Source organism: Homo sapiens, chromosome 5 (genome assembly GCF_000001405.40).
Source record: "Homo sapiens chromosome 5, GRCh38.p14 Primary Assembly".
In the NCBI taxonomy this organism is placed as follows: domain Eukaryota; kingdom Metazoa; phylum Chordata; class Mammalia; order Primates; family Hominidae; genus Homo; species Homo sapiens.
Genome location: NC_000005.10, coordinates 115,970,662 through 115,983,725, shown reverse-complemented (window position 1 = coordinate 115,983,725; position 13,064 = coordinate 115,970,662). Strand labels below are relative to the sequence as shown.

General features: G+C 36.9%; 1 protein-coding gene and 1 pseudogene across 4 annotated transcripts in view, besides 1 other annotated feature; one reads left to right on the top strand and one right to left on the bottom strand.

The window, feature by feature from the left end:
- LVRN (laeverin) overlaps positions 1-13,064 on the bottom strand; it is a 65,132-nt gene that overhangs the window by 43,881 nt on the left and 8,187 nt on the right. For all 4 annotated transcript variants that reach the window (NM_173800.5, XM_047416915.1, XM_047416913.1 and 1 more), the window contains exon 2: positions 297-439. In NM_173800.5, coding sequence (NP_776161.3) covers positions 297-439 — 143 coding nt within the window. The remainder of the gene's footprint in view (positions 1-296; positions 440-13,064) is intronic.
- Positions 6,268-6,557: an enhancer, noted in NCBI's record as "active region_22941". NCBI's record gives its function as "activates an Ori minimal core promoter by ATAC-STARR-seq in GM12878 lymphoblastoid cells {active_cell/tissue: GM12878}" and the evidence as "EXISTENCE:reporter gene assay evidence [ECO:0000049][PMID:35858748]".
- On the top strand, positions 7,872-9,221 carry DDX43P1 (DEAD-box helicase 43 pseudogene 1; annotated as a pseudogene).

The following is a 13,064-nucleotide window of genomic DNA, read 5'->3' as shown; positions in this document are numbered from 1 at the left end:
GCCCACCAGCTTGTTATCACTAATGATCAACAGTTGAAGCCCAAACTAAGTGGCAGGCAGACTGCCCATTTATAAGAACAGTGTAATATCCTCAGCTTCTTATACCAAAGGAATCAGGATTTACCATCTCCAAGGTGTGGATGCTGACACATATCCCAGGTGACTGCTCTACCTAATTATAGTAGACTGTAATTATAATACACCATAATACACTGCCTAGAAAAGCTACTGGTATAAATGTGATTACAAAGCTTATATAGATAGACAGCTAGATATAGACAGAAAGCATTACTTACCTAGCTTTGGCATGTTGGAAAGGGCCACATAACTTGGATGATGAATCATTGTAATATTAAAAGTTGCCTTCAGAGCTGGCTCATCAAAACAAGGGAAAACATACCTGGCAAATGTTGGTTCCAGCTGGGACGCTAACAGGGCCCTGAAATACATTTTGGGGAAATTTTTATTTATTTTTATTTCAACCCAGTGGAATAAAAAAACATTGAGAGATGATGGCTTGTAAGTTAGCCTGGTGTGTTAGAGGAAATTTCCTCTCATCTTCCTCACTGCCCATCCCATCACACCAACACACTCCAATTATCATGGCACCTTAGAATTCTCCTAAGACCTAAAATACAAGCACACCCTTTACTTTTAAACCACAAAATAATATTTGTTTTATTACATCGTAAACCTTTAAAACCTTTTACAAACAGAATAGAAACAAATATAGCGAATATGCAACATCAGTCTTTTGAGAACCAGCTCTTTATAAAGCTAGGATTACTTCTTTGAGAATGGTCCATTGCTTTCATCTTCCACTAAAGTAAAAGTCAGGGGAAGAATGTCTATTTTTTTTCTTTTTCTCACATGCCTCCTCTTCTTCCTAGCTAAAAACTTACAAAAAGTTTTATTTTGGACACTCTTGGGAGTAAACAATATGGGTACATGCTGATTGAACAAAACAACTTTCAATTATATATGGGTAAAGGTATCAAATCCCTGCTGATTCTTCCTCCATCTCCATGGCAAAATACAAAGAGTGACATTATCCCACCACACACTGGTGACTTACAGGGAAAAGCTTAGGGACAAGAATACCCCGAGCAGACGAGAAGACGTCAGGTTTACCCCCTGCAAACACTGCCTGAGTCTGATGACAGCACAGGTCCCAGCAAACAACTTTCTTCTCAAAACAAACAAAACAAAAAAACCCTGCAGTCTCATTATCCCATTTGCCAAGACTTGCTTACCTGGGAACCCGTCTTTAGATGACAACTGTGGATGCTAAATTCCTTTTTCAACCAAGATCCTGAGACTTAAAGTCTCTGATACATTTGTTTTTGCATCAGGCCCAATTCTTGGATAAATAAGAGGTGAATTCAACAAAGATATCTCAAGAGTATATGCCATCCATTACTTACCCTTGTGATCCCTCCTTCACCATCATAAGGCTGCTGCTTGCATAAGAATTCACACAGCTTTAGGAAGGACACATAGGACGGTTGGCACGTGCAAACAACTCTCAGTCAGCCATTTTGAGGTGTCATAACCTCATTGTATTGACAAAAACAATAATTTATAGTAAGGCCTGTTTTGGCTTACTTGCTCTTGCCCACATTATTATATGCTTACTGGCATAGACTGGAACGAGCCCTGTGGGCTCTGGCACCAGCTACTTTCTCTGTAAGACCCTACTCCACTCCATCTACTACCAACTGAGCAACGCAGGACAGTCACACAATCTTGTTAAGCCCCAGTTTCCCCACCTAGAAAATAATGACACTATTTACCTTGTACTGCTGTTTGAACTTTTAAATTATTGGTAATTACATTTACCAATAAATCACCTTTGAATTCTCCTATATCCCTTCCGATCTCACAAATCATTCTTGATACAGATGAACTATAGAAGAACTCAAAGAGGGATAAGTTACAGGATGGAATGGATGCTTGGAAATCACTAGTTACAGATGCATCTTTAAAAGTCCCAGGGTTGGGGGAGGTGGGGATGGTTAATGGGTTCCAAAAGAAAAACAGTTAGAAAGAATGAATAATAACTAGTATTTAATAGCACAACAGGGTGACTACAGTCAAAATAATTTAATTGTACTTTTAAAAATAACTAGGGTATAATTAGTTTGTCACATAAAGGATAAATGCTTGAGGGGATGGATACCCCATTCTCCATGATGTGATTATTATGCATTCCATGCCTATATCAAAGTATCTCATGTACCCCCACACATATATACACCTACTATTATACCCACAAAAATTAAAAATTGAAAAAAAGTGTTCTAGGGGCTACAGCTGACCACAGATTAAACATGAGTCATATTCGTCGCCCTGGTAAATTTGAAACTGCTAGAAATGAGAGGTTATGTATCTTTTTCTTCTGTATCATTTATAATAGTTGGCAAAAATCTGGGTTCATAGCAATTGTATAAGTATTTGTTTAGCCAAGAAATAATATAAAATAAAAGCAGCATGATATCAGTATATGCAAAAGAATATAAAGTACTTTGGCAGAGTTTGTTATAATGGCATTTGTTTTATGGTTTTGGTTACTGTCTTTAAGGGGATTGGACAAAGTAGAGAAAATTCAAGCCATTGACAATATAGTGGAAAGAACAGGCGTGAAGAGGAAATTCAGCCACCTGAATTCTTGCTCGGAATCTGTAAAGACTGTTGTGTAACTTTGGGAAAGTTGCTTAATATACCACTTAAATTTTCTATGAAATGTAGATGATCTCTAAGGCCACTCAGAACTCTAAAACTGTGATTCTAAGAGAGATTAAGATATCCAGCAGGATGGAAAAAGAGCCCATGAGTCATCTAAAGTTGGGAGAAACAACCCCCTTCCAGGTTCATGCATGGCCTTCAGGAGGTCTTTGAGCCCTCTGAAATTATAGGATATTTTGTACAACTGGTGGCATATTAAAAAATACATGCTCATGTATTTTTTAAAAGCCAACAAATGCCTATTGTCTTTGTAACAGAAACTATAGGAAGTAAAGCTTGATCATACGTTCTCAGCTGCCATGACCTCACAAAGCTTATGAATCTCAAAGAGACTGCAAGGTGGGGAGCGGAGAGAAAATTATACTCCTTAAGGAAGTGGGAAACTTTTATTTTACAGGTTCCAAAAGTGAACCTGGAGTGTAAAAGCAGGTGGAGACGCCAGCTTAAAGAGTCACCACTTCAGCAAATCAAACATCAAGCAAGCATCTTCCAATTCCATGATTCAGGTCTCCAAATAAGTAAAATAAAGTCTCTCAAATTTAATTCAACTATTTCCCTCCCTAGTTTTATGCAAACAAACCAAAAGTTAGGGGAAAATCCCTACGACACACAGCCTTTGGCTCTCAACCTTAACTGCAAAAGTCAAGTCTAACCAGCAGCACATATGATCTAGTTATGCCACCTCTGAGAACCTCACAGTGGTGTTTCCTTCCCTTTTCTCTGTGCTTTGGACTCAAGCTACCCTGTAACGATATTTTGACTTCAGAAAATAGAACCATCCACCACCCTCTCCTCCCTTCAAATCTCACTGAAACATGCTATTATGGTGTCCATTAAGTCTGTGTTTAGAATGGTCAGCTGGTGAGGGAGTTAATTTGGGAGAATTTGTCTCCTTGTGGGTCAGTATTGCAGAGCAACTTTCCTGCCCTCTTGTCTGGAAAGAGAATCATGGACTCACTGTTTTCTTGTGCTGGAAGTGGATCATGGACTCACTGCTTTCTTTGTGGTCAAGAACCACATGACACCCTTGGAGAATAAACCTACTACAACATAAACAAAAATCTACTACATCCACTCAGTAAGCTATTTCATTCCAAATTATTTTATGAACTTTGTATGTCTACAGCTCTACTTAACAAGTGCTGAATAGCATAGCCGGTCAAGTATTAAATAAAACTCTTAGGCAAGTTGTCCTCCCACAGTTTTTTTACACAATAACACACTCAGAAATCAAAATGTTTAGTAGAGCCAGATGTTACACTACTGGACTGTGGTTCAAGGGTTGGCTTATGAATCACGTTTGTTTATTACTTGTGTAATAGAATCTGAAAACTGAAGTTTTCACCAGGCAACAAAACATAATAGATATAAAATTCCAGAGAAAGGTGCCAAAACATGTTATGAAGATTTTCAAAATAAATGGCCTTGAGAACCTGGGTATGCCTGTTGGGCTTCTCAGCTACATGAGGGCCCCAGAAGAAGGGTCAGAGAATGGAGACAAAAGAGATTGGAGAAGCTATCTCTTGATGGAGGGGAGGGGGAAGCATTACTTTGCCAAGCTTTCCACGCTCTCAGGGAGTTGGGAGGAGGGGCAACCTTCTAACTATGGGCTTGGAGGAGAGAATCCCTCAGAGAGCAGTGAAAGTGTTTCCTGAGGCTGAGAGGCTTAGAAGCCCAACTCACTTTTGAGAAAGATGAAATTGATGGTATGGCCAAGGTCTAACTCCTACCAGGTGGGGATCTAAAAGGCATGAGAATGGCTGACTTCTTTGGAGTGCTGCTGCCTTGGGACTCATGCCAGTCCCAGGCCAGGGAAGCATGAGCATTCCTTGCAAGAGCTGTGTCCCCTACCATACAAAGTGAGCCAATATGGGGACTGTCTTGATTTAGTCCAGTAGAGCCACCTGGAGGAGGCTGGAGGAGCTTTGAGATACGCTGCTTGGTGTCTAGGGGCTGAGGAAGAAGTCATGATGACTATCAGAACAAAGAAATAGAAGTTGCTGAGTCAAGGAAATTGTAGAAAAAAAGAGGAAAAACACTGAAGAATCCAGGAAAATGACATCTCAAGGGGAAAATGCATCTGTAAGACCAGAATGAGACCAAATGACAACAGTGCCAGCTCAAGTAAGAAGTCCTATGTGTCACCTCTCCCTGTCACCCCCAGCCCCATGGACTCCCGTGGAATCAAAATAGCAGCTATCAAGATAGGCAAAGAAGAGTAGAAACGTGAGGTAAAGAAAAGAAGAAGGACTACCACCCTGTACCTTAATGCAGGCTTCCATCCTAAAAACTAGCCCAAGAGTAGGGAGTGGAAGATGGGAGAAAAATGGAGGTGGGAGAGAAAGAGGTTTAACAGTAAATTAAGTTCAAAGGTTTGAATATTACACAGGACTGGATTTTCTAATTTTCTCATCTAACTTACTTGTGACTTAGTTACTGTAGATCACCTGTCACTTAAGAATAAGCAGGAACTTATAGGCTGCTGGGGTCCTCATGCAGAGCAGAAAAGTTACCCCACAGACTAAATTTCCCACTGTAAAAGGACAATGGAAAAACGAAGTTGTGTTTTTACTAATCTGTAAGCTATGCTTTTTCAATATGCTAGCTATACGTATTTTCAAAAGACACAGGATCTGAATCTTTGCTGTGCAAAACCATCTCCCAGAGAGGACTGCTCAGCCACATGAAATATATGGGTTTGACACCTTTATAGGATAATGAAATGACATTTTCCTCTGTGACACCAGCATCATGTGTCTGGCACTTAAGTTCTCTGACCTCGTTTTGAGACTTACAAATTCTTTTCCTGATACTGCTCAAATTTCTCTCTTGTGTGTCATACCCTAATCACCATGCCAGATTTCCTAGCATAAACAGCAACTGCAAGAAAGTCTGTTTCTATTCTCTGTTCACTCTGTCTAAACCTGCACAAATTCATTGATTTTAATCATGCTGCTTTCACCTTTATTTGGCCCCCCAAAATATCCTAATTTTCACCAACTATTTCACACTTTCCTTATTTGATCTTGATCTTTCTATTTTCATTTCTTTAAATATCTTTCAGTTCCTTCTTTTCTTTAATCAAGGGAATGCTAGAATCAAAAATGCAAGAAGTATTCTGGGAATCTTTGAACAAAAGTGGGAGTGTATGAGTTCTCTCATTAAATTACAAAAGTGAAGAGACCTTAAAGAGTCCCACCATCTTAATTGACAGATGTGAAAACTGACTCCCCAGGAGTTTATGCAACTGATTAGACGACCAGCAAGTGCACAGTGGTACCAGAATCAGGGCTCCAGGTCCCAAGCCTGGGGTCCTTTCCAATGCACTGACTGCTTTGAAGTACATAACGTAATAAATACTAAAACTAAACTAAACTGAGATGTCATGAAGACGACTAGAGATTAACTTTATAATTAATAGCATTCCCAAATCTAAAGATAATGAGACTTCTGTTTGCCACCACAGGGAGTAACATAGGCTCAAATCAGCCTTCTGCTGAAAACAGTTTTAAAACCTGACAAAATATATAAAACAACTATTTCAGACATAAGACAACCAGAAGCACAGGACTGTGATCCTCAAGAGAAGAGAAACAAGCAAAGCAAATGCTACAATTACCCTGTTTTTCTGCCTCGAAGCAGTTTCTAAACTGCAGCACAGGAAAGGGAAACTGAAACAATTCGGTGGTCTCACTGAGTTGAAGAGACAGACGTTAGAGTTCAGGGACACCTAGACAGCTAGAATTTGCCGAGTAGAGTATAAGAGAAGAGGTAACTATGCAAAGAAAGACTTCCAGAAATCTGTATAGGATTCCCCTCAAGTCTTTGGACAAATAGTAATCATCATGAGGTCAGGCAAAGAGAAGCTGCTGGGGAAAGAATAAGTACCAGGGAAGGGTACGCTGAACACTTCCCAGAGTTCACATACTGTTTGGAGTTGTTGGAATTTTCTCAAGCCAGAGTATTGAAATCTTCAGAATATATAGATTATTCAACAGAGGGAGACTAGATGGGTGATGCCTGAGTAGTGGCCTAAAGTAGCCCTAGAGTAAAGGCTTCTTTAGAGTCACTCTCAAAGAGCTTAAAAACATGGCTCAAGAGAATCAAACAAGGATCAACAGGATCACCAAGTAACTTCAGTTACTATCCAAAAGGGCCAGCATTCTCTAAGCAATATAACCAAATCCAGCATCCAACAACATAAAAATTTAAATGTCAGGCATTCAATAAAAAATGAGAAGATGCTGAAACATTTGGAAAGCAAATAATGCAGTTCTAAATAACACAGGAGTCAAAGATAAAATCCAAATGGAAATTAGAAAGTATTCTGAACTTCCAAAAAAAAGATAAAAACAACATAACATCATTTGTGGCATGGCATTAAAGCAATAGTTAGTGGGAAATTTATAATATTAAATGCCTATATGAGAAATAAAAGGGTCTTAAAGTAATAAGTTTGTGTCAACCATAGTATAGAAAAAGTAAAAATAAAGCCCAAAGTAAGAAGAAAGTGGATAATAAAGATCAAAATATAAATCGGTGAAATAAAAAACAGAAAATCAATAGAGAAAATCAATGAAGCCAAAAACTGGTTCTACAAGAAGATTAGTAAAATAGATAAATCTTGACACCAGTCCTACAACAGCATGGTCAGGTAGCGCAGAGCTGGTCAGATGCACTTACTCTCATCTAACCAAAAAGTAGGAGCCAATGCCATTATCTGGGTCATTGCTATCTGGCGAAGCTCAACAGTATCCTGAGCACCAGAGAGGAGACTGGCAGAGGAACTGAATCAAAGAGGTTGTGAAGGATATAGGGGTGGCAGAAGTGGGGACCGAAGAGACCCCTCTAAACCCCGGAGGCTGTGGCCGCTAGTCACTGGGAGCCACTGCTCTGTTTCGGATTGAAGAACGACTTAGTTGGTGTGGTGATCAGTCACGGTGGGTCAAAAATAAAGGATAGCCAAAGCACAACAAACATCAAAATCCAGATAAAGAAAAGGACATCTGGAATCATTAGTCAACATTTTTGGCAGCAAGGCGATGCAAACAAAAGCAAAAGTAGTAATAGATAAATGTGTTTTTTAAAAAACAAATTACAATTCAGAACACAGAATTGATTTAAAAACCAATTGAGAAAACCTTTTACAAAGAGTCAACAACAAGTTCAATATCCCAAGTGCAAGCAGACAACCGGAGGAAGGCAAATTTTAATATAATGTGTGATGACGTGAAAAATGGTAAGAAACGTCCTATCCCCAATCCTAGTTGCACATTTGACGATGCCTTTCAATGTTGTTCTGAAGTTATGGAAAATATTAAAAAGACAGGTTTTCAAAAACCAACACCTATTCGGTCACAGGCATGGCCAATTGCTCTGCAAGGAAAAGATCTTACAGGGGTAGCCCAAACTGGTACAGGAAAAACATTATGCTATTTAATGCCTGGATATATTCATCTGGACTTCCAACACACAGAGAAAAAAGGAATAGACCCGCATGTTAGTCCTTATGCCCACTCAGGAGCTAACTCTTTAAGTGGAAGCTGAGTGATGCAATAAAAGTTTAGAAGCATTTGTTATACGGTGGTGGAGATGGAGACAAACAAATAGAAGACCTTAGGAAAGGTGTTGATATCATATTGGCAACTCCCAAAAGACTGGATGATCTGCAAATGAATAACTTTGTCAGCCTGAGAAGTGTAACCTACTTGGTTTTAGATAAAGCAGACAATATGCTGGACATGGGGTGTGAACCCAAGATAATGAAGATTTTGTTAGATGTGCGCCCAGACAGGCAGAATATTATGACCAGGCAACTTGGCCATATTCAGTTCATTGACTCATACAATCTTATTTGAAAGAGCCCATGCTTGTCTATGCTGGTACACTGGATCTGGTTGCCATTAAGTTTAGTGAAGCAAATATAATGATCACCACAGAGGAAGAAAAATGAATTTATATCCAAAGTTTTCTAGATCTTATTTCACCCAGAGACAAAGTGATTATCTTCATTTCCCAAAAGGCAGTTGCAGATCATTTATCAAGTGACCTAATACTTGGAAATATATCAGTAGAGTCTCTGCATGGTGATACAGAACAGAGAGATTGGTCGGGAGAGAGCATTAGAGAATGTTAAAATAAGTCAAGTGAATATTAATTGCTACTGACATAACATCCTGAGGTCTTGATGTCCATGATATTACAGATATCTATAATTACAATTTTCCATGGAACACTGAAAAATATGTACACTGAATAGGGTGCACAGGAAGAGCTGGAAGGACTGGAGTGCCAATTACACGTGTGACTAGAAATGATTTGAGGGTTGCCACCAAATTGATGAATATTTTGGAAAGAGCAAACCAGAGTGTTCCAAAGGAGTTTGCATCAATGGCTAAGAGACACGAGGCACATCAACAACTAAAAAGGAAATGGGAAGACTTCAAGGAACGCCCAAGAAGTTTTATTAAGATCTTTTATTGAAAAGTGTTACTAGCTTACCAGACGTAAAACTTTAATAACATATATAGTTTCAAATGCCTGCTTTCATAAACTAGGTTTTGTTAGTGTTTATATTGCAATCAGCATTACCACTAAGAGTTTTTAACATCATAAACTGTTAGGTGTTACGCTTTTACTATTACCTAAACTCTAGTGAATGTACCTTCAGAGTTGGTAGGTGTATAGATTGGTATGACCTCCTATGAACAACTTGGTAATGTATAAATTATAAATACATAAGCCTTTTGATCTGGCAATTTCTCTTCTAGGAATGCATTCTACAACTATGTCTGCAATATCTGTAGTATCAAAAGACTAACTGAAATGTCTAGAAAGAGACTAGATGAAGTAGTAAAAGCAAAGAACTTTCTACTATGATGGTGGACTGAGCTAAAACAGGAAACCTTACCTCCTACTTCAAACTCAACAGAAATGCTAGATAAAATATTTTTGAAAAAGGTGTTCCCAAAGCTGGGTTATGAATGGGGGCTTATTATATTCTGTAAATGTTTAAAGAATTTTCCATAATAAAAAGTCCATATTTACCAGCCTCAAAAAAAGATAAATCTCAAGGCAGACCAAATAAACTTATTGAATATTAGAAGTAGAAGAAACCTATGAAAGCTGAAGAAACTGGTTAGACAACTAGTAAGTGGTAGAGTGGTACTAGATAAGGGCTCCAGCTCCCAAAGAGAGAAGACACAAATTTCCAATATCAGGAATAAAAGGTGATGTCACTACAGATTTTATAGATGTTTAAAATAATAACGAAATATTTTGAACAATTTTGTACTTACACATTTGGCAACTTTGATTAAATGGATAAGTTCCTAGAAAGACACAAACTGCCACAGTTTACTCATGAAGAAATAGATAACCTAAATAGCCCTGTATCTATTAGATAAATTTAAGTCATAGTTAAAAACCATCCCACAAAGAATTTCTAGGCCCAGAGAGCCTCATGGGTGAAATTCAATCAGACGGTTAAAGAAGAAATATTACCAATTTTATATAAATTTTTCTGAAAATCAAGGAAAAGGGAATACTTCTGAATGCATTATTTGAAGCCAGTGTTACTTTGACATCAAAATTGGACAAATACATTGCAAGAAAACTACAACTACAAGTCCATAACTCTCATGAACATAGAGCAAAAATTCTAAGCAAAATTTGAGCAAATCAAATCTAATAATATATTAAAAGGCTAATGCATCAAGAACAACTGGAATTTATTTCAAGAATTCAAGGTTGACTGGGTGCAGTGGCTCATGCCTGTAATTCCAACACTTTGGGAGGCCAAGGGAGATGGATTCCTTGAGCTCAGGAGTTTGAGACCAGCCTGGGCAACATGGCAAAACCCTATCCCTACTAAAAATACAAAAAATCAGCTAGGCATGGCAGCATGTGTCTGTAGTCTCAGCTACTCAGGAGGCTGAGGTGGGAGAATCACCTGAGCCCTGGAAGTCAAGGCTGTAGTGAGCTGTGATTGCACCACTGCACTCCAGCCTGGGCACCAGAAGTGAGACCCTGTCTGGAAAAAAAAAAAAATGCAAGGCTAGTTTATCATTAGAAAATCAATGTAATTTACCATATTAACAAATTAAATAATAAAAACTATATAATCATCTCAAAAGATGCAGAATACACATTTGATAAAATATGACATCCATTCCTGATCATAGCTCTTGGAAAATTATAAATAAAAGGAAACGTTTTCAACCTAATGAAAAGAATCTACCAAAAAAAACCTTATAGGAAAAATCATAATTAATAATTAATGATGGAAGACTGAATGCTTTCACCCTACAATAAGAAATGAGACTAGAATATCTTTACTTACTTTTTCTATTCAGTGTTGTATTAGAAGCTCTAGTCATTGAAATAAGGCAAGAAAAATAAATAAAAGGCGTTGAAACTAAAGTAGAAGTAAAACTGTCTTTATTCAAGACAGTATGACAACCTATGTAGAGAATTTAATGGAAAATTAAAAGCTTTTTTTTAAATAAAAAGATGCTAAATGAAGAAGTGATTTAGCAAAGTTGTAGCATACAAGATCAACAAGCAAAAATTAATTAGCAACAATTAGAAATTGGAATTTCTAAAAATATCATTAACAATAGATATTTAAAATATAAAATACCTAGGAATGAATCTGACAAAATATGTGCAAGATATATACAGTGAAACATATAAAACCTGAATTCATAAAACAGTTGCGAACCTATTTTTCAGTTGTGGCTTGTCTTTGTATTCTTTTAACAGTGTCTTTCAAAGAGCAGAAGTTTTACATTTTAATGAAGCTCATTTATCAATGTTTCCTTATATATATCAAACTTTTGGTGGTGTATCTGTGAAAACATTGTCTATCCCAAGCTCATACAAATTTTCAACTGAATTCATAAAAATACTTGAATTTACAACTGAATTCATAAAAAGGCTTATACACGAATATTCCTGGAAGCTTTATTTGTAACAGCTCAAAACTGAGTAAAGAAGACCTAAATAAGTAGAGAGATATATACCATGTTTATGGGTTAGAAGCTTCAATATTTTTAACATTTGAATTCTCCTCAAATTTTTCTATAGAGTCAACATAATCTCAGTCAAAATCCCAGCAGGTGCTTTTTTTTCTTTATTTAATAGATATTAACAAGCTAATTCTAAAATTAATATGGAAATGCAAAGGACCTAGAATATCCTAAATAACTGGAAAAAAGTTGGTAGATGAATAACACCTAGTTTCAAGATGTATTACAAAGCTACAGGAATCAAGACAATACAGAATTGGCATAAAAATACACAAATGGATCAATAGAACAGACTAGACAATCAAAAAATATACCCACATATATATATGAAAAACTGATTTTTTTACAGAAGTGCAGACACAATTCAGTACAGATAGCATAGACTCTTTAACAAATGGCAGTGGTACAGTTGAATGTCCATAGGCAAAAAAACTCTTTAATCCATACCTCACACCATATGCAAAAATTAACTCAAAATGGATCATACACCTAACTATAAAACTTCTGAAAGAAGGCATAGAAGAAAGTTTTTATGAGCTTAGGATAGACAATGTTTTCACAGATACAACAACAAAAGCTTGATATATATAAGGAAACATTGATAAACTGAACTTCATTAAAATGTAAAACTTCTGCTCTTTGAAAGACACTATTAAAAGAATACAAAGACAAGCCACAACTGAAAAATTATTTGCAAATCATGTATTTGAGAAAAGATCCTCTCTAAATTCAACAATAGGAAAACAAACAGCCCAAGAGAAAAATGGACTGAAGATTTTATCAGACATTTTGTTAAAATAGATGGATGACAAATAGTTACAGAAAATGATGCACAACATTTTTAGTCATTGGGAAAATATAAATTAAAACTGTAATGAAGAACACTATACACCTATTAGAATGGCTGAAATGAAAAAGTCTGGCAATACCAACTGCTGGTAAGGATTTGGAACAACTAGAATTCTGCCATACGTTGATAAAAATTTTAAATGACCAAACTCCTTGGAAAACAGTTTTGCAGTTTCTTAAAAAACTAAATATTCATATGATCTAACCACTCCACTCTTAGGTATTTACTCAAGAAAAATGAATTGATAAAAAGACTTGTATATGAGTATTCCTGGAAGCTTTATTTGTAAACAGCTCAAAACTGAAAACAACCCAAATGTCTTGGTAATTTGTTGGATAAACAAATTGTGTTATATCAATACAATGAAATGCTATCAGTAATACAAAATAACTGATACATACAAAAAGCATGTATTTCAGATGGGTGCGGTGGCTCACACC